This window comes from Homo sapiens, chromosome 6 (assembly GCF_000001405.40).
Source record: "Homo sapiens chromosome 6, GRCh38.p14 Primary Assembly".
Lineage (NCBI taxonomy): Eukaryota > Metazoa > Chordata > Mammalia > Primates > Hominidae > Homo > Homo sapiens.
The window spans coordinates 56,882,000-56,907,283 of record NC_000006.12 but is presented as its reverse complement, the minus strand read 5'-3'; the positions used below and the strand labels follow the sequence as shown (position 1 = coordinate 56,907,283).

General features: G+C 43.4%; 1 protein-coding gene across 4 annotated transcripts in view, besides 3 other annotated features; it reads left to right on the top strand.

Annotated features, from left to right (window-relative positions):
* DST (dystonin) overlaps nt 1–25,284 on the top strand; it is a 496,835-nt gene that overhangs the window by 47,547 nt on the left and 424,004 nt on the right. For all 4 annotated transcript variants that reach the window (NM_001144769.5, NM_001374722.1, NM_001374736.1 and 1 more), the window contains exon 3: nt 6,663–6,863. In NM_001144769.5, coding sequence (NP_001138241.1) covers nt 6,663–6,863 — 201 coding nt within the window. The remainder of the gene's footprint in view (nt 1–6,662; nt 6,864–25,284) is intronic.
* Nucleotides 16,525–16,584: an enhancer, noted in NCBI's record as "active region_24706". NCBI's record gives its function as "activates an Ori minimal core promoter by ATAC-STARR-seq in GM12878 lymphoblastoid cells {active_cell/tissue: GM12878}" and the evidence as "EXISTENCE:reporter gene assay evidence [ECO:0000049][PMID:35858748]".
* Nucleotides 19,567–19,736: an enhancer, noted in NCBI's record as "experimental_92361 CRE fragment used in MPRA reporter constructs". NCBI's record gives its function as "activates a minimal promoter by MPRAs in K562 erythroleukemia cells, with activity observed for the introgressed 6:56752431 or rs34714091 variant allele {active_cell/tissue: K562}" and the evidence as "EXISTENCE:reporter gene assay evidence [ECO:0000049][PMID:34662402]".
* Nucleotide 19,651: a transcriptional cis regulatory region, noted in NCBI's record as "Neanderthal adaptively introgressed variant 6:56752431 (GRCh37/hg19 assembly coordinates) or rs34714091 in the experimental_92361 CRE". NCBI's record gives its function as "modulates activity of the experimental_92361 enhancer by MPRAs in K562 erythroleukemia cells {active_cell/tissue: K562}" and the evidence as "EXISTENCE:reporter gene assay evidence [ECO:0000049][PMID:34662402]".

Below are 25,284 nucleotides of genomic sequence, written 5' to 3'. Positions count from 1 at the left end.
AACAGGACCTGACTGTCTGACTTAAGCCAATAGAGAATTTAATACAACTAGATTGTGGAACTCACAATCAAGACTGGATGTCTGGTTAGAACAAACAAAACCAGGCAGCTTCAGAAGGTCTTTGGTGTAGCCATTGGAACTAATGAACTCCTGATTTTTTTCAGTCTTTACTTGCCTCCATGTAATATTCACAGTCCAAGCAGAGAAATTTGAATTCACTGAGTCTTGGTTATGGGCTTACCCATGAGATGTACTGGGTTATTATTAAGAGGGAAGATCTAGAGTGGGCTCTGGAGCATCTTGGTGTAACTATGTATGAAGACATTACTCATCATTGGGAAATGCAAATAAAAGCTACAGTGAGCTATCACCTCACATCTGTTAGGATGGTTGTCATCAATAAGCCACAAGATAAGTGTTTGTTGATGAGGAAATGAAGCGGCTACATTATCTGGGGTAAATACCCGGGGTTCGTTGTCTTGCACCAAGAAAATTTAGGACAGGGACACACTTGAGGAGTTTAGGGGCAGAGGTTTAATAGGCAAAAGAAAGAGAAAGAAAAACATCTCTCTCTCTAGTGAGAGAGAGGGGACTTCTGAGAGGAAAAGGCTGGCAGGCAGTGGATGCCCCGAATTTTATAGTCCAGCTTGAGGAGGTGGTATCTGATTTTTGTAGGGCTCACAGATTGATTTGATCAGGTGTGACGTCTACATAGCGGGCCTGGAGGGCTGATTACCCCACCCTAATATTATTATGCTAATGACTCTTCCCTTGGCCAGCACCATTTTGTCTTCTTCTTACTGTACACGTGGCTGGCAGAGAAGGGAAGATGGAGCCATCATTTTGAACACGTCTAGTCCCAGGTAGTTCTTTCCTGCAGGCATCCACCTGTGAAAGCTCTCAGCTTGCTTGTCTATGTCTGCAGCTTGACTTTACAGGCTGTTCTTTGTTAGAAAATGATTTGGGGCTGCTTTTCGTTAAAGGGAAAATCTGACTGAGGACTTTTGTACCCTGAGTATCTGCCTAGTAATTTCTTCTTAACTCTGGTATCAGAAGGCTATGGAGAAATTGGAACCCTTGTACACTGTAGGTGGGAATGTAAACTGGTGTAGCCGCTATGCAAAACAGTATGGTGGTTTCTCAAAAAGTTAAAACTAGAATTACCATATGATCCAACAATCACACTTCTGGCTATATGTACAAAGGGGTTGGAATCAGGATCTTGAAGAGTTATATATGCTCCTATGTTCATTGCAGCATTTTTCACAGTAGCCAAGATATGGAAACAATCTAAATGTCCGTGGAGAGATGAGTGGATAAAGAAAGTGCAATATAGGCTGGGTGTGGTGGCTTACACCTGTAATCCCAGCACTTTGGAAGGCCGAGATGGGTGGATCACCTGAGGTCAGGAGTTCAAGACCAGCCTGGGCAACAAGGTGAAACCCCATCTCTACTAAAAATATAAAAATTAGCTGGGTGCGGTGGCCTGTGCCTGTAATCCCATCTACTTGGGAGGCTGAGGCAGGAGAATTGCTTGAGCCCGGGAGGTGGAGGTTGCAGTGAGCCGAGATTGTGCCATTGCACTTCAGCCTGGGTGACAAAGCAAGACTCTGTCTAAAAAAAAAAAAAAGTAGAGAAAAAGAAAACGCAATATATGCATACAATGGAATAGTACTCAGCCTTAAAAAATGAAGGAAATCCTGGCATATGCAACAGTATGAATGAACCTGGAGAACATTATGTTAGGTGCAATAACTCAGTCACAGAAAGACAAATACTGAATGATTCCATTTATATAAAGTATCTAAATTAGTTGAATTAATAAAATCAAAGAGTAGAATGGTAGTTGCCAGGGGCTGGAGGGAAGGAGAGATAGGAAGTTGCTATTCAATGGGTATAAAGTTTCCGTTACGCCAGCTGAATGAGTTCTAAAGATCTGCTATACAACATTGTACCCAGAGTTAACAATACTGTATTGTGCACTTAAAGGTTGAAGAGAGCAGATCTCATGATAAATGTTCCTCACACATGCACATACACACCACACAAACACACACACACACACACGAGTGCACATCTTGGGAAATGATTATCCAAAAGGGGCTGATAATTTGGGGTGTCCTAAAAATGATAGAAGTCCACTACTGACAGGCTTCCAAGTGTCCATCACCTAATGGTTGAAGAGTAACTCTTATTGGCCGGGCATGGTGGCTCACGCCTGTAATCCCAGGACTTTGGGAGGCCGAGGTGGGCAGATCATGAGGTCAGGAGATCAAGACCATACTGGCCAATGTGGTGAAACCCCATCTCTACTAAAAATACAAAAATTAGCTGGGCATGGTGGCACATGCTTGTAATCCCAGCTACTCAGGAGGCTGAGGCAGGAGAATCACTTGAACCCGGGAGGCGGCGGTTGCAGTGAGCCGATATTGCGCCACTGCACTCCAGCCTAGCGACAGAGCTAGACTCGGTCTCAAAAGAAAAAGAGTAACTCTTATTAACACCTGGAAGAACTTATAGCACCACCTACTGTTTCAAGCTAAAATTTCCTCTGTTAAAAGACATGGCTTTTTTTTAATATTACTTAGGAGAAGAAAGTGTCATAAATCAAGGAGCTGTAATTCCTTACAGTTATTTAGGGAAATAAAGGTGAACGGTCATCGTTGTTTATAGTGTTTGTAATCATAGCTGTGAGCTGCTGATGTGTAAATTGCTGCTGCCAGATCCAGGAAGTGAAGCAGTAATAATAATGATAATAATGTATTAAGTATTTTTTCTATGCTGTGTACTGTTCTGAGTACGTAATGTGGATTATCTCATTTAAACACCCCATTACTCTACAAGAGAGACGTATTGTTATATGCATTTGACAAATTAAAGAAGAAGCAAGGCACAGAGAAGTAATTTAGCCAAGACCACACACCTAGTAAGTAATAGAGCTGGTATTATATTTGAACCCAGGTAGTTTGACTCACTGGAGAGTAACAAAGAACTCTCTCCTAATGATCGGTACCTCACATGTGTCTGTCTTCAAGGCACACCAGCAATGTGACTCATTTTCCTATTTCCACCTGATTTCTTTTTTAGATAGTATGAATAATACACTATTGTGTTCAAGACTATATTTTATTCACACAAGTAATATCCATAGTAATTATAGTGAATGTTTCTGTACTACTACGTGCTAGGTACTCTTTGAAGTACTTTACCTCCATTACTTTATTCTTTTCAGCAACCCTATGAATTACTATTTTAATCCTTATTTTATAGGTGAGGAAATAATTAAGTAACTATTCAAGATCATACAACTAGGAAGTGACAAAGGCAGTATTAGAACCCAGATAGTGGCTGCAGAGTCTGTGTAGTATACCACAGTGCTTATAAATAGTTATTTTAAAATAGTACAAGTAAATTTGGGTATAAAAGAAATAACTGAGGCAGTGCTCAGATCTGGAGAAAAAATGTTAAGGTGGAATGAAGATGCCTGAAGTTTAGGAAAGACTGATTTAAGTGGTTTAGAATTTTTGGCCGCATGCGATGGCTTACACCTGTAATCCCAGCACTTTGGGAAGCTGAGCTGGGCAGATCATGAGGTCAGGAGTTTGAGACCAGCCTGGCCAACATGGTGAAACCCCATCTGTACTAAAAATACAAAAATTAGCCGGGCATGGTGGTGCACACCTGTAATCCCAGCTACTCAGGAGGCTGAGGCAGGAGAATCGCTTGAACCCAGCAGGCAGAGGTTGCAGTGAGCTGAGATCACACCACTGCACTCCAGCCTGGGTGACAGAGCAAGATTCTGTCTCAAAAAAATTTTTTTATATCATAAATAATTCTGCATTGAATATCTTACTGGGCACTCTTGGTAGAATTTCTCTAGGGTAGATACAGGGATGTGAATTCACTGAGTTATTGTTTTGCAGAATGGCTGTGACAGCATGTTTTAATCTCTGTCATTTGGTTACTTTAGCGAAGTTTTATGCAGTTTTTCTCCCTAAGTGTTTCTAGAATTTGTAGTCCACTGAGGACTATTGGTAATAATACCAGTTAAGCAAAATCTGGTTGCTTATTACTCATAAGAGAATCTACATTCTTACCAAAGAAATGTACTGAACTTACTCCACTATTACAGAAGCTACTATATCATCAAATATTTTGTTCATTCTACCAGAACACCAAATTTCTGAATTAGAATGCAGGGCTATGGGAGATAATGCCATCTAGTGGTCAAACTAAACTCTGGTTCCTAGAGATTCTTAGTCTTCAAAGTGTAGAAAAATTATCAGAGAAGCTTGTTAAAAAATGAGATTGAGAAGGAAAGACAGAGAGAGAGAGAGAGAGAATGAATGTGTGTGTGTAGAGGGTGGAGGGGGCGGGTGGGTGGATGGGGAATGTCCAGGAAGCTGCATAAAAAGCAGCCTGTATGGTTGTTGGTTTTGATGTGTGTGGTCTAAACTGCCCTAGAATTTGGTTCAGCATTTGGCCCAGTTCCCTCTTCTCCTTAATCCTCTTCTCCAGCAGCTGCTGTAGTACCTCCTGAGTTACGTGGGAGTGGTGGGGATGTTCTGGGACTATTTTCGGTTGAAGAGGACCAGCTGAGCTTGCACGCAGGGGCGGGATGGGAACAAGACTAAAGTATTTGCGGATGGATTAGGAGAGCCCAAACAATGACCTCGGTTTTGCCAAATCCATTTGCATTTTCTCCTTACCGATTTCTGTTGACCTCATTGCTACTTTTGACTCTGGGGTTAACCCCCTCCTTTTTTAAAAATTATCTCTTTCTTCATATCCTTCAGCCTGGTGTACAGGCTCTCCATAATTGGACAGTAGCCCATCTTCCGGCTCCCTCAGTGAGAATCCCACTGTACACATTTATCTTTCAGAATCCCACAGAATCATTATTATGCCTTTTCTCATACTGTTCATCTCTCTGAAATTCTTACTCCTCATTTTTTATGCATTTACTGCAGACTTTAAGCCTTTTATACATCTTCAAAAATTCAGAAGACACACAAACTGAAAGAAGCCCTTCTTGGATCATTTAGTGTTTATCTCTCACTAGTTTCCCACCATATTTAGCTTGTACCCTCATACCAGCACATTATCAAATAACGTTTCTTATTGTTGTAAATACTCCACCCATCTGTCTATCATCTATGTATTATTCATTCATTTCTTATGTTGTTTCCTTTGTCTTCAATATAAATTCAATTCATTCTTCAAATGCCACCCACTCAACTAAGCCAAATGTAACTATACTCAGCTTCATTCATTGATTTCCTTCTCTGAGATCTGCTAGCGCTGAGAGTCTACTACTTTAACCACTTTAACCCTTCATTACACATTCCCATGTGTTTATGAACTCTATGTTAGATTTCTCCTTCTGCTCTCCAGTAAATTGTAAGCCATGAGGACCAAGACTATTTTATGTAATTATTGATATTTTCCAAAATTGCATGTTCTCAGTTGCATAATATGACTTAGCTGACATGTTTCCGTTGTCTGAGTTGTCCTTATACTCATCTTGCTCTAAAGAAGAGGAAAATGACAATTTTATTAAGCACTTCCTATGTGTCAGATACCATGCTTAGAATTTTACATGTATATATATATACACACACAGAAACACACACACACAGATACACACACACACATATATATATTTTTTATCTTATTTTATTTTATTTTTTAGATGGAGTCTCACTCTGTCACCTGGGCTGGAGTGCAGTGGCATGATCTTGGCTCACTGCAACCTCTGCCTCCCAGGTTCAAGCAGTTCTCCTGCCTCAGCCTCCCAAGTAGCTGGGATTACTGGCGTCCACCAGCATGACCAGCTAATTTTTGATTTTTAGTAGAGACAGGGTTTCGCCATGTTGGCCAGGCTGGTCTCCAACTCCTGACCTCAGGTGATCCACCCGCCTTGGCCTCCCAAAGTGCTGGGATTACAGGCGTGAGCCATTGTGCCCAGCTGGAATTTTACTTATATTTATGTTATTTAAAACTTAAAAGCCCTGTGAGTGGAATGTTATACATTTTGTAGGTTAGAACAGTTGGACTCAGAAATATTTAATACATTGTGTAGCTGTAATTAAGAAGTCAGCATTTGGACCCGGGCCCATCTGACGCCCAAACCCATACCCTTTGTGCCACCTCGTTGCTTCCATTTGAGTTTGGAACCCTCACTTTGTGGTGTTTTGCAGTGATGATTGGCATTCCTGCTCTTTCCTTCCTCAGAAAGAGTCTCTCTCAGGAATGTAAAGTGGCACTTTACCCTGGAATGATATCCTGTCCCGCTCCCTACACTCTACTTCAGGCCAAAATGGAAACGCCCTTCTTCACAGTCTCCCTGATGCTTCAGTCAAGCAGTGTGCCCACCTGCTTTTTTTCCCTCCTTTTTTTTTTTTTTTTGGACTGGCTTTACTCAATTAAGAACACTTCTTAATGTAGAATAACTCTGGGCCCTGAAATACTGGGGTGCTTTAAAGAACACTTGTGGGGAAAACTTAACTTGCACGTTAAGCCTCCTCCATGCTCACTTTGGGAGTGCACGTGATCTCACTGAATATAGTGACTTTTGGAGCTCTTTGTATAACTAGCCATGGAGAACTTCCAGACTAACTCAATACAAATCTGGATTTGCTTGGTTGTGTTTTCTGCCACAGGGATTCAGAGCAAGCCCTCGGCATCTTAGAAGACGAGTTGCAGCGGCCGCAGCTGCCCGTCTGGAAGAAGTGAAGCCCGTGGTGGAAGTTCACCATCAGAGTGAGCAAGAAACTTCAGTGAGGAAACGAAGAATCAAGAAGAGCAGCCGAGTCCAGCCAGAATTTTATCACTCTGTTCAAGGTGCTTCAATCAGGAGGCCTGTAAGTAGAGAACTGTCTTTTATAAAAATATTAAATTCACTGTCAAATCATGTGGTTGTTCTTTTAGTTTAAAAACATTATCAGATTAACTTTGAATAATTAGGTTGTTGTTATTCCCAACAAGTGGCAGCGTACTCATATGAGTTTCAGCAAGGAATAGGGTTTCATAGAATGTTCTAGGATGGATAGATAGTTGACAAAAAAGCAAGAGTTAGTCACTGTCAGGCAGCTGATATGAAAGCTGGTGAACTCCCAGCCCTGCTGAAGCTGGAGTTCTAGAATGAGGATGGGGACATAGAGTCAACAAATCTAGGTGTGGTAATGAGAGAACTGATGAAGAGGATGACAACAAAACCAGTGTCAGGATAGGAGAAGCAGTGAAGGAAGGTGGGGCTGGAGTCTTGGGCAGTAGCAGTGGCTGAACTCCTCCTGGAGGCTCTTGAGCCAGTGAGGCCTGTGCGTCCCTCCACACCCAGCCTAGGGTAACTCTAAGTGTCCTGGCCTTCTCAGGTGTGGCCTTTATATTGTTATAAGGCAGCACCATTGTCTTTTTCTAACCTGGTGCCCTGTTGGCCACAATGCCACCTTTCTTCAGAAACTCAGGGCTCAACTAGGAGCTGGTCTTCATCCCCTTCTCACATCCTGAGCACGTTGTTCTGTGTGCTCTGATTTTTCTTTCCTTGGTTCTGGCTCATGGGCTTTTTACCAAGGCTGGGGCTTAGAAAATGCCATTTTAAAACTTGTAAAGTAATTTTATGACTGCAATAATTTTATTTGCTTTGGCATTAGAAAAAAGTGTCTGTATGGCTCATCTCTATGCTGTGGGGAGCCTGTTGTTGTTTCTTGTGCCAACATAGGGGAGCCATCAAGATTTGGCTTGAAAATGTCTTTGTAAATTATTGAAACAGAACTGCCCTTCTGTGGGGGTAACTGTGTGGCAGGCACATGTGGAGACTGTGCGAAGGCCAAGAGAATGTCTGACTCAGTAACCAGGCCAACAACAATGGAAAGAAGTTAAATTCCTTTACAGAAAAGGATCTGTTTATCATAACCAATTGAAAAAAAAGTACATATTTAGAAATGAGGGTTTATTTTTCATGATTCAATAAAACAAAGGCTAAGTAGAATTTGGTATCTATGCAGAGAAATATGAAATGGTAGGAAAATTTACTCATTCAACAAACATGCATTTTATGTAGAAAATAAGGGACATACAGATATGTGTTAACTAACAGTTACTGAGGGCTAAATGTGTAACAGGCATTATTTTATGTCACTTATTTAACAATTCTATGAGGTAGATGTTATGATTCCCATTTTATGGATAATGAAACTGAGCCCCAGAGAGGATACATAACTTGCCTCAGGTTATCTAGTTGTTTGGGGTAGAGTTTAGGATTTGGATCTAGGTGGCCTGCCTCCAGAACCCAAGCATGTACCTCTACCATCTGTTACTTTCCTGTAGTACCTGGTCACTAGGAAATCACAGTCGAGTCAATCAACAGACATGAAAACAAGCAATTATAATGCATGTTCTGTGCTTTGAAAGTACTGTTCTAGAGTTATACACAAGGCATTATGGAATCATCTTGGATCTCCAGAAATATTTACAGATAAGCAGACACCTGAGATGAGTCCTGAGAGATAAGGAGGAATTTACCAAGTACAAAGTAGAAGTAGGTATCTTCTGCATGAGAAAAACATATATAAAAGCACAGAGATGTGGGAGGGTATGGCATTCTCAGTGAACAGCTTGAGGTGGTGCTGGCACATCAGACTGGTGGGTTGGGTAGAGGCCAGATTAGAAAGGGCTTGTACATTATGCTAAATATTTGAACTTATTTTGTGTAATAGGCATCAGTTGAAGGTAGGGAATAGGTGAATTGTTTCTCTTGCCAGGAGTCTAGCTAATTCTTTGCTTCTTCTAATCTCCCCATGTGGATCAGGATTGAGAAGTAAGTGACTATCATTAAAGTTTAGAAACTCTCAACCATCATTATTCTCTCACAAGCCCTCTACATAACTGCCTTGGTTAATAAGACATAGTCTTTATGCCTCTGTGACTTTGAACCTGCTGTCTACTTTGCCCTTGAATGTTTTTCCTTATTCTTTGTTTGCCTGGTAAACTTCAGTTCATCTTTTGAGACTGACTCATGCTCGGATAGGTCAGGTGAAGTCTTTTCTGATCCTTCCTATCAGAGTGAGGTGCCCTTAGTTTTGATTCTCAGCACTAGGTACAAACCTCCAACATAGCAGCTACCCCAGCAAAAAAGGAGGTCTCTGCAGTAAGACTCACGTGGGTTCAAATCCTGCTCTGTGTATCTGCAGGAAACAGCACACTAAGAGGATTTAACTGAAGAGAGTTTAATGAAGGCACTATTTACAGAAATGTGGGCAGGGCTAAGGTGCTTCATCAGCCTATAGGTGGAGCCTACTTACCTTCAACTCCTGGTCTAAGGGGCAGCAGAGGGCATTGGTCTTAATTGATCCTGGTAGGAAGAGCTGGAGCCATGGAAGAGCCCTTCCACAAGGATGGTGCCTGAGGGTTGCAGCTACTGCCAGAACCTAGTGAGTCAGGAGGGAGCAGGGCGAATAAATATACTGCTCTCTTAGCTCGTGCTCTCAGTGGTATCTCCTGTTGACCCAACCTACCTAGAAGCTGGAGGGCAAAGGAACTTGGGTGATGCAGATCACAGCCATCAGTCTCCCAGGGACTGAGCAAGGAAGAGATGGACAGACAATCTGAGAGGGTTACAGTGACAGCAGAGAATAAAAACATACCTACCTGGTGGCCGAGCATGGTGGCTCACTCCTGTAATCCCAGCACCTTGGGATACCAAGGTGGGCAAAACACTTGAGGCCAGGAGTTTGAGACCAGCCTAGCCAACATGGCAAAACCCCTTCTCTACTAAAAGTACAAAAATTAGCCAGGTGTGGTGGCACACGCCTGTAATCCCAGCTACTCGGGAGGTGGAAGCAGGATAATCGCTTGAACCAGGAGGTGGAGGTTGCAGGGAGCCAAGATCGTGCCATTGCACTCCAGCCTTGGCAATAGAGTGAGACTACGTCTCAAAAATAAATAAATAAATAAATAAATAAAAACAACCCCCCCCCCAAAAAAAAACCACTTAGTATTCTTTGCCAAGATATTTCAATTCTCTGAGAATCAGTTTCCTTATTATAAAGTGATAATAAGGGAAAGGACACCCTTCTCAACAAATAGAAAAGTTTGGGCTAGCCACATGTAGGAGAATGAAACCGATCCTCATCTCTCACCTTATACAAAAATCAACTCAAGATAGATTAAGGACTTAAACCTAAGACCTGATACTATAAAAATTATAGAAATAACATTGGAAAAACCCTTCTAGACATTGGCTTAGGCAAAGATTTCATGACTGAGAACCCAAAAGCAAATGCAGTAAAAACAAAGATAAATAGTTGGGGCTTAATTAAACTAAAGAGCTTTTGCATGACAAAAGGAACAGTCATCAGAGTAAAGAGACAGCCCACAAAGTGGGAGAGAATCTGCACAATCTATACATCTGACAAAGGACTAATATCCAGAATCTACAATGAACTCAAACAAATCAGCAAGAAAAAAACAAACAGTCCCATCAGAAAGTGGGCTAAGGACATGAATAGACAGTTCTCAAAAGACAATGATATACAAATGGCCAACAGACATAGGAGAAAATGCTCAACTTCACTAATGATCAGGCAAATGCAAATCAAAACCGCAAGGTGATACCACCTCACTCCTGCAAGAATGGCCATAATCAAAATATTAAAAAATGGTTGATGTTGGCGTGGATGTGGTGATCAGGGAACACTTCTACACTGCTGGTGGGAATGTAAACTAGTACAGCCACTGTATTAGTTTGTTTTCATGCTGCTGATAAAGACATACCTGAGACTGGGAAGAAAAAGAGGTTTAATTGGACTTACAGTTCCACATGGCTGGGGAGGCCTCAGAATCGTGGGAGGTGAAAGGCACTTCTTAACATGGTGGTGGCAAGAGAAAATAAGGAAGAAGCAAAAGCAGAAACCCCTGATAAACCCATCAGATCTCATGAGACTTATTCACTATCATGAGAATAGCATGGGGAAGACCGACCCCCATGATTGAATTACCTCCCACTGGGTCCATCCCACAACACGTGGGAATTCTGGGAGATACAATTCAAGTTGAGATTTGGGTGGGGACACAGCCAAACCATATCAGCCACTATGGAAAACAGTGTGGAGATTCCTTAAAGAACTAAAAGTAGGCTCTCCCGTCTCCCTCTCCCTCTCCCGTCTCCCTCTCCCTCTCCCGTCTCCCTCTCCCTCTCCCGTCTCCCTCTCCCTCTCCCGTCTCCCTCTCCCTCTCCCGTCTCCCTCTCCCTCTCCCGTCTCCCTCTCCCTCTCCCGTCTCCCTCTCCCTCTCATGCCGAGCCAAAGCTGGACGGTACTGCTGCCATCTCGGCTCACTGCAACCTCCCTGCCTGATTCTCCTGCCTCAGCCTGCCGAGTGCCTGCGATTGCAGGCGCGCGCCGCCACGCCTGACTGGTTTTCGTTTTTTTTTGGTGGAGATGGGGTTTCGCTGTGTTGGCCGGGCTGGTCTCCAGCTCCTAACCGCGAGTGATCCGCCAGCCTCGGCCTCCCGAGGTGCCGGGATTGCAGATGGAGTCTCGTTCACTCAGTGCTCAATGGTGCCCAGGCTGGAGTGCAGTGGCGTGATCTCGGCTCGCTACAACCACCTCCCAGCCGCCTGCCTTGGCCTCCCAAAGAGCCGAGATTGCAGCCTCTGCCCGGCCGCCACCCCGTCTGGGAAGTGAGGAGCGTCTCTGCTTGGCCACCCATCGTCTGGGATGTGAGGAGCCCCTCTGCCTGGCTGCCCAGTGTGGAAAGTGAGGAGCGTCTCTGCCCGGCCGCCATCCCATCTAGGAAGCGAGAAGCGCCTCTTCCCCGCCGCCATCCCATCTAGGAAGTGAGGAGCGTCTCTGCCCGGCCGCCCATCGTCTGAGATGTGGGGAGCACCTCTGCCCCACCGCCCTGTCTGGGATGTGAGGAGCGCCTCTGCTGGGCCGCAACCCTGTCTGGGAGGTGAGGAGTGTCTCTGCCCGGCCGCTCCGTCTGAGAAGTGAGGAAACCCTCTGCCTGGCAACCGCCCCGTCTGAGAAGTGAGGAGCCCCTCCGTCTGGCAACCACCCCGTCTGGGAAGTGAGGAGCGTCTCCGCCCGGCAGCCACCCCGTCCGGGAGGGAGGTGGGGGGGGTCAGCCCCCCGCCCGGCCAGCCTCCCCGTCCGGGAGGTGAGGGGCTCCTCTGCCCGGCCGCCCCTACTGGGAAGTGAGGAGCCCCTCTGCCCGGCCAGTCGCCCCGTCCAGGAGGGAGGTGGGGGGTCAACCCCCCGCCCGGCCAGCCGCCCAGTCCGGGAGGGAGGTAGGGGGGTCAGCCCCCCGCCTGGCCAGCCGCCCCGTCCGGGAGGTGAGGGGCGCCTCTGCCCGGCCGCCCCTACTGGGAAGTGAGGAGCCCCTCTGCCCGGCCAGCCGCCCCGCCCAGGAGGGAGGTGGGGGGGTCAGCCCCCCGCCTGGCCAGCCGCCCCATCCGGGAGGGAGGTGGGGGGGTCAGCCCCCCGCCCGGCCAGCCGCCTCGTCCGGGAGGGGGGAGGGGGGGTCAGCCCCCTGCCCGGCCAGCCGCCCCGTCCGGGAGGGAGGTGGGGGGGGTCAGCCCCCCGCCCGGCCAGCCGCCCCGTCCGGGAGGGAGGTGGGGGGATCAGCCCCATGCCTGGCCAGCCGCCCCGTCCGGGAGGTGAGGGGCGCCTCTGCCCGGCCGCCCCTACTGGGAAGTGAGGACCCCTCTGCCCGGCCAGCCGCCCCGTCCAGGAGGGAGGTGGGGGGGGTCAGCCCCCCGCCCGGCCAGCCGCCCCGTCCGGGAGGGAGGTGGGGGGATCAGCCCCCTGCCTGGCCAGCCGCCCCGTCCGGGAGGTGAGGGGCGCCTCTGCCCGGCCGCCCCTACTGGGAAGTGAGGACCCCTCTGCCCGGCCAGCCGCCCCGTCCGGGAGGGAGGTGGGGGGAACAGCCCCCCTGCCCGGCCAGCCGCCCTATCCAGGAGGTGAGGGGCGCCTCTGCCCGGCCGCCCCTACTGGGAAGTGAGGAGCCCCTCTGCCTGGCCAGCCGCCCCGTCCGGGAGGGCGGTGGGGGGGTCAGCCCCCCGCCCGGCCAGCCGCCCCATCTGGGAGGTGAGGGGCACTTCTGCCGGGCCGCCCCTACTGGGAAGTGAGGAGCCCCTCTGCCCGGCCACGACCCCGTCTGGGAGGTGTGCCCAGCGGCTCATTGGGGATGGGCCATGATGACAATGGCGGTTTTGTGGAATAGAAAGGCGGGAAGGGTGGGGAAAAAATTGAGAAATCGGATGGTTGCTGGGTCTGTGTGGATAGAAGTAGACATGGGAGACTTTTCATTTTGTTCTGTACTAAGAAAAATTCTTCTGCCTTGGGATCCTGTTGATCTGTGACCTTATCCCCAACCCTGTGCTCTCTGAGACATGTGCTGTGTCCACTCAGGGTTAGATGGATTAAGGGCGGTGCAAGATGTGCTTTGTTGAACAGATGCTTGAGGGCAGCATGCTCGTTGAGAGTCATCACCACTCCCTAATCTTAAGTACCCAGGGACACAAACGCTGCGGAAGGCCGCAGGGTCCTCTGCCTAGGAAAACCAGAGACCTTTGTTCACTTGTTTATCTGCTGACCTTCCCTCCACTATTGTCCTATGACCCTGCCAAATCCCCCTCTGCGAGAAACACCCAAGAATGATCAATAAAAATAAAAAATAAAAAATAAAAAAAAATAAAAAAAAAAAAAAAAAAAAAAAAAGAACTAAAAGTAGGACTACCATTTGATCCAGCAATCCCACTACTGGGTATCTACCCAGAGGAAAAGAAGTCATTATATGAAAAATATACTTGTACACGTGTGTTTATAGCAGTACAATTCACAATTCCAAAATTGTGGGACCAACCCAAATGCCCATCAATCAACGAGTGGATAAAGAAACTGTGGTGTATCTATACGATGGAATACTACTCAGCCATAAAAAGGAATGAATTAACAGAATTTGCAGTGACCTGGATGAGATTGGAGACTATTATTCTAAGTGAAGTAACTCAGGAATGGAAAACCAAACATCATATGTTCTCACTGACATGTGGGAGCTAAGCTATGAGGACTCAAAGTCGTAAGAATGATAAAATGGACTGTGGGGACTTGGGAGGAAGAGTATGAGGAGGGCGAGGGATAAAAGCCAACAGTATGGTACAATGTATACTGCTTGGGTGATGGGTGCACCAAAATCTCACAAATCACCACTAAAGAACTTACTCATGTAACCAAATACCACCTGTACCTCAATAACTTCTGGAAAAATAAAAAATAAATAAAGTGATAACAATAGCTACCATATAGAGTCATGAGGATGAACTGAGCTGACATATGGAAAGACCTGCATAGAATAAACAATAAATAGTAGTTTCTTCCTTTTATTCCTCCTCCCCTAGACCATGAATTCTTTGAGGCCCATATCAAGGGTTCTAGAATATCTCCTGGCATCTGGCGTTTGGCATTTGGCATCTGAGTGAATACTATTGACTGAGTGAATGATATATGAAAGATAGCTAATGATGACTGGTACAATTAGTAAGCATTATAGGAATTCAGAGAACAAAGAGGGGACCCCCACCCCTAAATAGGTTGGTTAAGGCATAATTACTTTATGGAAAAGTTGGGATTGAGTTGGGCTTTAAAATATGGGTAGTGCTGGGCGTGGCGGCTCACACCTGGAATCCCAGTACTTTGGGAGGCTGAGGTGGGAGGATCACTTGAGCTCAAGAGTTTGAAACCAGCCTGGGCAACATAGGGAGACCCTATCTCTACTAAAAATTAAAAACAAATTAGCCAGTCATGGTGGTGCACGCCTGTAGTCCCAGCTACTTGAGAGGCTGAGGTGGGAGAATCACTTGAGCCCGGAGTTCCAGGCTGCAGTAAGCCATGATCATGCTGCTGTACTCCAGCCTGAGTGACAGAGCAAGACACTGTCTGAAAAAAAAAAAAAAAAAAAGGGATAGGAATTGGCTGGGTAGCAGATGCTGGGTCCGGGAAGTGGAGTAAGCAAAAGTGCTGAGAACTGACTGGATGTGGGGATTTATATGAGAGAAATACAAGATAAAGCTGGAAAAAATAGTTAGGGGCCAACATACATTTCAGACAACCACTGGTTTAAGCTTTCTTTTCTGTGCTTCTGAAGACACTGTAATAGGTGAGTAGTGTGATCATAGCATGATTTTAGGAGGATTAAACATGTGCAGGGTACATCAGGAGAGCAGGACAGTTAGGTAGCTGTGGCAGCCTAGCAGTGAGGTGATTAGGGCCTGAATTTGGGCCTAACCCATGGTGTTCTGCTGACATCTGCTGATGACTGCTGGTGGGGAATCTGAGGATGGCCTCACCCTCTCTCCTGAAGGATCTGTTGGAAGAGAGGGAGATTAGAGGGCAGCAAATAGCAGTGGAGATTACTCAGTTGCATGGGCAAAAAACCATTCTGAGGAGTGTTTTTTTTTGAGACGGAGTCTTGCTCTCTTGCCCAGGCTGGAGTGCAGTGGTGCGATCTCAGCTCACTGCAAGCTCCACCGAGGAGTTTTCTTTTTTTTGAGACAGGGTTTTGCTCTGTCACCCAGGCTGGAGTGCAGTCGCGCAATCACGGCTCACTGCAGCCTCAACCTCTTGGGCTCAACCTTCCCATCTCAGCCTCCTGAGTAGCTTAGACTATAGGCAGGTGCCAGCATGCCTGGCTAATTTTTTTTTTTTTTTTTTTTTTTGAGACGGAGTCTCACTCTGTCGCCCAGGCTGGAGTGCAGTGGCTCAATCTCGGCTCACTGCAAGCTCCACCTCCCGGTTCACGCCATTCTCCTGCCTCAGCCTTCTGGGTAGCTGGGACTACAGGTGCCCGCTACCACGCCTCATGCCTGGCTAATTTTAACTTTTTTTTTGTAGAGGTGGAGTCTGTCTGTGTTGTCCTGGTTGGTCTTGAACTCCTGGGCTCAAGAGAACACCTCGGCCTCCCAAAGTGCTGGGATTATAGGCATGAGCCACCACATCCAGCTGGGAGAGGTCTTCAGGGTGTCTTACTGCATCTCCTGTCAGTTGTCTGAGAGACTGGACGTTGTCAGAGTTGGTAGTGAGAAGGCTGTTGGCTCCTTGTCTCACACAATTCCTGTGCAGGCTTCTAGAACCTTTTGGCCTCTGCCGACATTTCCCTGCTTTTAATGCCATATATGAGCTTGAACTGAGGCTTTGTGTCCTCTTCTGGATTTGGTTAGGTGCAGCCAGTAGTGCCTGCTAGAGCCACCCTATTCAACATGCGTCTAAAGCCTGTGTCTTTTCTAAACGTACACATTTGGAGAAAATCAGTGTTATGACGTGTTGCCATGAAAGCAACTCTGATTATAGCTTGGAGATGGAGTAAAAATAAATCAGTTATGGTGATTCAGGATTACTTGAATGACTTTATATGAAGCACTCAAGGCATTTCTAGTGGCAATCTAAATAAGAAATAGGCCCATGAGTGAGAAAGACTGAAAACAGAAGTAACTGCAAAGGAGATGAGTCAGAAAGCGTGACTGTGCAGTTTTAGCTACTTTCAGTCAGACCATCCTCTTGAAGTGTTATGTGAAATGCAAATACTTTAGCATCCTTAGCTGTTTTAACCTATTTACTTATTCTGGATTTGTAAGCTATATGCAAATATACCTATAAGAATTTGTAATGGGGATCACTAATAAAAACTTAATAATATCTAGATTTTTTATTTTACTCCTTGTTTTAGATGTTTCTAAAAGTGGATAAACTAAAAATTTATCCTGATTTCCTCTCAGTACATATGTATTTGGATTTATACTGTATATTAAGATATGTCACTAGGATGCTTAGGAATTTTTTTTACCATCTTGAAACAGAAAAGATAATTAGATCCAGATCTCCATTTATTCCTTAGTATTTTCACATTACAAAGCATTTTGTTTTGTTTCTGAATCCCAGGATTTTTAAACATCATCATCATCATCATAAGAACTCTTGCATTACTGCATGTTTACCTCATTGACAATACATGGGCATTGTTCTCTGCACTCTTCTCTGTTTTTCTCTCATTTTATCTTCTCAGCGATTCTCTGGAGTCGGTGCTCACTTTCCAGGGAGGAAATGTGTCAAGGTCATACAGCTGGTAGATCATGGAGTTAACATTTAAACCTAGGCACTCTTGGCTTGAGCCGTTTTTGAGTAAGGAATGGAGAACTCCCCATGATTACAATTCTAGTGCTAGACATTTATCCTCATCAGCCTTCCTGAAGTATTTTAATTACTTTGAGTCTCATTTTTCTAACTGCATAGATGGTAGATATGGATGAAATCTTTGTGTTTTTAAACTATTACATCAATTAAAACCTATCTTTAAAATGGTATTGAAAACCATAGGTAAACCTCAAACATCATTTTTGCCATCATTTTATTGGCAAAATTGGCCCCCTCTTTCTGTGGCAGGGCACCTAGGAGGTAGCAAGAAGTAAGCAAGAGTAATTTTGCCCTACTGCCTGCTCACATGAACCTGTTAATGTACAACTTTCAGACCCAAAAAGTATTTATGTGTTTGAGATTGGGGGTGGGTATGGGGAAATAACAGTTTTAGAGCATCAGGAAATAATCAAACATACTGACTCTACTCCTGTTACATTTCACTGATTCCAGTTTTTTGCACACTGCAACAGCATTGCCTGCATTTCCTGGTGACTTAGAATCTTTGAGACTTTCTCACTGAGCTGAAAAAGTATAATTAAAAATTGCTAGTGTTCCCAGGTTATTGCCAAAGCTGCAGCTTGTTCTCCCTGCTGGCAAAATCTTAGCCTCTGAGCACCTGTTTTCTTACTTTTGGGCTCCCACCACCATCAAGCAATGGGATTTTTGAACCTGACAGTTTTGACTGAGGAGTTGGAGGACATATGGGCCTAACACAGGTGATTGGGTGATCCTCTTTTCTGAAATGGTAAGCACAAAGGAAGAAGCAGGTTTGGATTGAGGATTGGAAAGAAAATTTTCTGATTTGGATATGTGAAGTTTGAAATAACTATTAGATATTCTTGTGTCTGGATTTCATGGAAGATGTGAGAATTATTTGTACATAGATGTTATTAAATCTATAAGACTGGGTGGGATGACTCCGAAAATGAATTTGATAGAGAAGAGAAGACACTTGAGGTCTGAGCCTTGGAGTCTGCCAGTGATGAGAGTTTGGGAAGAGGACTGAGGATCGCTTATAACTTCCAACTCTTCACTCAGAAATATAAATGCCTTAAGCAGACATGGGTCTAGGTAGCTCTTGACTTTGATTTAAGGCTATTCATTTTAGGCCAAGAAAAGGCCACTCAGGTAGAGACTAGAGAAAATAGCAGGAAATGAAGTCCCAGATGTACTCATTAGATTTTCCCTTCCCTGAACTCTCCCCAACTAAACCACCACTTCCTTGACCTCACCCTTCTTTTCCTTCTGTTGTGGGTTTCTGTTTTTCAGTCTTGGGGAAATTTTCTGTTTTTCTGATTACAGCTTAGGTTTTTGTAAGGCTGCAGTATATTTTGGAACATTATATAGCTTTAATTTGTAATAATTAAATTAACCAGATTTTGTCATATTTGTAGTTGGGAACTTTTTGGAGTGTAGGAAAGACTTAAGCATATATCCTTGATCTCTTGAAAATATAGCAGGGTGTTTCTGTGTTCCTTTCCTGCTTAGATTATTAAAATGGTCTTCCTTTTCCCTTTCCTTTTCAAATATGTAGGACCAGGCAGCTCTATGTGCATAACCTTAGGATATTTCCCCTTTTGTGGAAGGCATAACTGTACAACTCATACCTTACTTTGGCTAATTAACTAGCAAATCCAAAGCTCTTAGAGGAAACATTTGTTTCCTTTTCCCCTTTGGAATTCTGGAGAATGAATTGATTAATAAAGTCAAATTTCTTTTGCTAATTATCTGAAAAGAATTTTTTTGAATGACACCCATTCAATGTACTGAGTCTTTGCTACATATTGCTGTACCTCCCTTTTTAGGTTCATAATTAATAGAATTTTATAAAAGATTTCATTTATGGCCAGGTGTGGTGGTTCACGTCTGTAATCCCAGCACACTGGGAGGCTGAGGCGGGCGGATCACGAGGTCAAGAGATTGAGACCATCCCAGCCAACATGGTGAAACCCGTCTCTACTAAAAATACAAAACTTAGCTGGGCATGGTGGCACGTGCCTGTAGTCTCAGCTACTTGGGAGGCTGAGGCAGGAGAATCGCTTGAACCCGGGAGGCAGAGGTTGCAGTGAGCCGAGATCGCACTGCTGCACTCCAGCCTGGTAACAGAGCGAGACTCCATCTCAAAAAAAAAAAAAAAAGATTTCATTTATTATAGGCTTGCTATAATAAATTACAGTAAGGTATTGGAATAATTAATGCACAGGGGCACAAGAATGTGCAAGGTAGGTAGACTGTATTGAATGAACAGTTTAGTCTCTATAAACAACTCATGAAACCAAGATTAACTTGGTAAAGGGATTCATGTGTTCTGCTTGGAGAAAAATAAGCATGTGTTCATAACTCATGATTCTTTTTTGAGGTCAGTATTTTGACTGAAGCAAGACCTCTTGCCATTCTTTCTATGTCTTTCTTGTATGTGATGACAACCTGTTGTCTTAAATAAAAAAAACCTTAAATTCTTTAATCTCCAAACCAAGGAAACTTAAAGAAAACATTTAGATAGTCACTTACACTTTGAAAATTTTCATGGACAACTATGGATCAAAGGACTGAAAAGAAAGCCCCTTCAAAGATGGTCTAGTTTATTATTTCACCTCTAACCAAAGAAATCCTTAAATTGCTCTGGTAAGATGGGTATAGCTTCCTTTATTTTAAAGGACACAGCCATAGCTTACCTCAGAATTCTGTTTGGAATTTAACAGCCATCTCTGCCTGAAACAACTCCTTGATCTTTGCCCTAAATCCCATGCCTTACAATTTAAGACCATTTCTTATTGTGGTATCCTCTGTGGAGAGGATGAAGCATAGCCACCTGCTACCGTGTCACTCTCAGTCTTTGTGAATCAAAGAATGTTAAAGCTTGAGGGGATCTTAGAGCTCATCTGACTTAACAGTTTTTGTAATGCTAGATTCCTCTCTGCTTCAGTACTTTTAGTGATACAATCTCCTACCATTAAATAGTGCTAATTAGCAGCAAGTTAATTGTACTTGAAAATCAATAAATTGTTTCTTTTCTAGGCTCATGGTTCTATCTCTCTGAACTTTTCTCCTAAGTCTAATTCTTAATTTTTCCAAACATCATTTTTGTTTTACTCTTCTAAACCACCTCCAAGTGAGTGATAAGGGTCTGATTTCTCTCAATATTTTCTGTCTCTCTCTCTTTATTTATTTATTTTAGTTCTGAGATGATGATTGTGTTTCAAAAAAATCAATCTATGGAAATTGAACAAAATTTAGTTTGTGCTTTGGGAGATGAGAATTCAGTTCTAGAAATGACAGTAATGTTTCAGGAATTTTTTTTTTTTTTTTTTTTTTGAGACTGAGTTTCACTCTCATTGCCTAGGCTGGAGTGCAATGGCACGATCTCCGGCTCACCGCAAACTCCACCTCCTGGGTTCAAGCAATTCTCCTGCCTCAGCCTCCCGAGCAGCTGGGATTACAGGCATGTGCCACCACACCCAGCTAATTTTGTATTTTTAGTAGAGACGGGGTTTCTCCATGTTGGTCAGGGTGGTCTCGAACTCCTAACCTCAGGTGATCTGCCCGCCTCGGCCTCCCAAAATGCTGGGATTACAGGCGTGAGCCACCATGCCTGGCTGTTTCAGGAAAATTATAGCTTTGGAGTAGTACTTCGTAGTTAAGTAGCACTTCATACTTTCAAAGACTGCTCATATTCATTATCTCCTGAACAAACACCCTGTGTGTTGGGTATGGCATATATTATTGATCCAGTTTGACAAAACTAAACCTCAGTGAGTAGGTGATTGGCTTAAGTTCATAAGGTCAGTTAGAAGCAGACCTCTCTCATCCTTGCAGTCTGTTGTCTCCTGTGTTTATCCTATGTTTATTTAGTCTTTATCTCTGACAATGCTTAGAGAATTGGGTGAGAACTTCCAGGGAGAAGAATATAGATTCCATTTGACTGGAGGAATTATTCAGTATCCCAATGTGACTCATTCCCAGGGAGTAGCTTTACATCTTTGAGAGTCTGCTCACAGCCTGCATTATCTGTGTTGGCCACCCTAGGCTACCTGTGTATTGGCAAGTCCACTTTGGTCTAATACTATCAAGCCCATGCTGCTCCTCCACACACCCTATTCAATTATGAATTGGTAAATTAGATAATCAACTCTGATACTGGGTAATACCACTGGCTAATCTACATTGACCCTTGCTACATGCAGCTCAGTATTACTAAGATCGATGGGGATCAGACACTGTCTTAGTCCATCTGTGTTGCTATAAGAGAATACCTGAGACTGGGTAATTTATAAATAATAGAAATTTATTTTCTCACTCTTCTGGAACCTAGAAAGTTCAAGACCAAGGCATCAGCAGGTTTGGTATTGGGTGAGGTGTTGTTCCTCAGCGATGACACCTTGTTTCTGCATCCTCACCTGGTGGAAGGCAGAAGGCAAAGACAGCAAGAGAGAGCAAGGGAGCTCTTTGAAGCCTTTTTTGTAGTGGCATTAACCCATTCATGATGGTGAGCCCCCATGACATAATCACTTCCAAAAAGCCCCTCCTCTTAATACTGTCATATTGGGGATTAAATTTCAACACATGAATTTTGGGTGGGATACAACATTCAAACCAAAGCAGATACCTAAGCAAATATGTTGTTAAAATTAAGTTTATATACCCTTGTGCACTCTTGGTGGGAATGTAAAATGGTTCAACTGCTATAGAAAACAGTATGGTAGGTCTTCAAAAATTAAAAAATAGCATTATCATATGAGCCAACTATTCCACTTCTGAATATTGAACCCTGGCACATGAATTGTACGCAGAGTTAGTCTCAACTTGAAGCCAAGCCTTTTGTCCTTCACCTCAGTCAGTCATTGGTTATGGGCTGCTAGGGCTGGGGGTGTGAGGAAGCTTTAGGTTAGGGGAGTCCCTGAAGGGGAGGGCGGCTATGAGCCATTAGCAGCCAACCCTCACAGTAGCCTGTATGTGAGTCCATTGGCCAGGTGGAAGGGATGCAGCCAGGACACTCATAGAAACCATCAATCACAAACTTGTTGGATAAATGGCTGATTCCAGACCTGAAACAGAAAATATAGAATGAGCTTCACAGCTCACGCCTGTAATCCCAGCACTTTGGGAGGCCGAGGTGGGCGGATCATGAGGTCAGGAGATCGAGACCATCCTGGCTAACATGGTGAAACCCCGTCTCTACTAAATATACAAAAAAAATTAGCCTGGCGTGGTGGCACGTGCCTGTAGTCTCAGCTACCTGGGAGGCTGAGGCAGGAGAATGGTGTGAACCTGGGAGGCGGAGCTTGCATTGAGCCGAGATCGCGCCATTGCACTCCAGCCTGGGCAACAGAGTGAGACTCCATCTCAAAAAGAAAAAAAAAATGAGCTTGGCACATCTTGTCAAACTCGAAAGCAAGGAAGCATCAAAGACTACTGGGATCATGTCAGCACCAGGAGTAAACTTGGAGAGGCTCCTACTGCTGTTGAAGGAAGAAGGAATGATGAAATTACAATTTTACCACCTTGCAAGCCCTAATAAAATAACGAACCTAGACACTGATCATCAATGACTGCTAATACATGAGAGACAACCACACATATGCGTCTCCTGATGAAAGTATACAAAAATACTTATAAAGTATTCTTGCTAAAAATTGAACCTAAATCAGATCAAACTGCTAGTTCTAATTATAGATTTACATAAAATACAGGTGACAGAGGAATATGTTAAATGATAAGGTGAAGATAGTGAAGATACATTTAGGATTTAGCTAAGTTGAGGTGTGGGAAACTCTAGAACAAATACCCCTAATTTCTTTGACAAATTATAAGAAAAAATGTGGGAGTGATAGTCTATACAAGAAAAGAGACTTAAAAGACCTACCAACCAAATGTAACATGTATGCCTTATTTGGGTGAATAAACCGAATATAAAAAAAAGAGAAAGTGGGGGAAATTTGAACAATGAATTTTTTTTTTTTTGAGATAAGTTCTCACTCTGCCACCCAGGCTCGAGTGCAGTGGCACAATCACAGCTCACTGCATCGTCAACCTCCTGAACTCAGGTAATCCTCCTGCCTCTGTCTCCTGAGAAGGTGAGACTACAGGTGTGTGCCACCAAGCCTGGCTAATTTTTTAATTTTTTTGAAGAAACATGGTCTTGCTTTGTTGCCCAGGCTTGGATATTTAATGATATTAAGAAACTTATAAAAATATTTTAGATTGATAATGGTATTTTTATTTTATTAAAAATAATTATTATCTTTTAGAGATGCATACTAAAATATTTAATAATGAAATAAAATCCCTCATATTGGCTTTAAAATCATCTGGTGGGGTAGGGGAGAAAATGTGGATAGGGGTATAGTTGAAATAGCACTGACCAGGAGATGGTGATTGTTCAAGCTGGGCATGTAAATGGCAGTTCTCTATAGTTTTACTTTGTTGTATAAGCATAAAATTTTCCATAATGAAAGGTTTAAGACATTAGAGAAAGAAACAAACCTTTACTTGAAGTTTGCATCATCAACACTTTTGTTTTCCGTAGAGTAAGCCTAAATTTTTGTTAATAACATTTTGAGATTTTAGATATTTATTATTAAAAGGTTTTTAGAAAGGCAGAAGGTGGGAAATTGTTCTTATGGCCATCTCCTGATTTCTTTTTACTTCTTGTTTTCTTTTAACAAAGAACTATTTGCTTATTTGTTGTCTTTTTACTTAGAACATTTGACAGACCATATTAGTGAATGGTGTATAAAATGTGCTTATTATTTAAAACTTAAACAAATAATATAAAATAGACAAGGAATTATATAGGCATATTCTTCTGTTTTAAAATCTAGAGCAGATTTTTTTCCCGCAAGACTACTGTTTTTGTTCTTTGCTGATTTATTGATCTGAGACTAGAATCATCATTGAAACAAAACTGACCTTAAAGGCAACATGGGCCTGGCGTGGTGGCTCACACCTGTAATCCCAGCACTTTGGGAGGCCAAGGTGGGTGGATCACCTGAGGTCAGGAGTTTGAGACCAGCCTGGCCAACATGGTGAAACCCCATCTCTACTAAAAATATAAAAACCAGCTGGGTGTGGTGGCACGCACCTGTAATTCCAGCTACTTGGGAGGTTGAGGCAGGAGGATCAGCTTGAACCTGGCAGGCAGAGGTTGCAGTGAGCTGAGATCATGCCACCTCATTCCAGCCTGGGTGACAGAGCGAGACTCTGTCTTGGGGGGGAAAAGAAAAAAGCAACATGCTATCACATTGCTTGACTTTTGTCTTGCTGAAATTTAAACGATAGCTGGTCTAACAATTTTTTCTTAGTAAATAGAATTCTTCCATTTTAGTATGATTTTATTCCAGCAAATTACACATATATCTTTTCACAGAGCTCATGAAATTTTGATGATGGCTAAAATGCAAGATATTGAGTTGCTTAATTGATTTGAGTTAATCTTTAATATTGGCATTACATGCCATTATGTGACTCTCTGCTCAGGAGATAGCTTTTCAGTGGTAGATTATTTGCTTTCATTTTGCTGCTTATACTTTTAATTTTCTGTTGCTAAATAGGGAGGCAAGCCAGTGATTTATACATTTCTAACTCTGTTCATAGCTTAATTAAGAAAGTTTGAAACTATCATTAGTTAGGATGCTTTAGAATTATCTGTGAATTTTATTTATATATTAGCCCTATTATAAATAGGCATTGTTAATTGAGAATGGAGTATAATTTTTAGCTACTTTGCCAAACACAATAAAAATAACCCATTTACTTTCTCCAAAACTGGATAGCTGGATGTGGATATCTTTCAGAAGCAATGGGGTCCTTACAGGACATGTGCTTTCATGCTACTAATTTTCATAATTTGCAGCCACAGGAAAATAATTATTTTTAAGTGGCCAGCATTCATGTTGAAAATGAGCCTATTTTTCTTGGCCATCAGGACAACCATTTCTCTTGAACTATGATAATCAGTTCTGACATATTGCTTTGAGCCTTTTCTCCTTCTGCATTTCAAGAAGGTTAAACATTATTGAGCATAAACGTTTGTCCCAGGAGTTCAGAAGGGCAAAAATTATACATTCGACCTGAACATATACTTTAAAGTGGA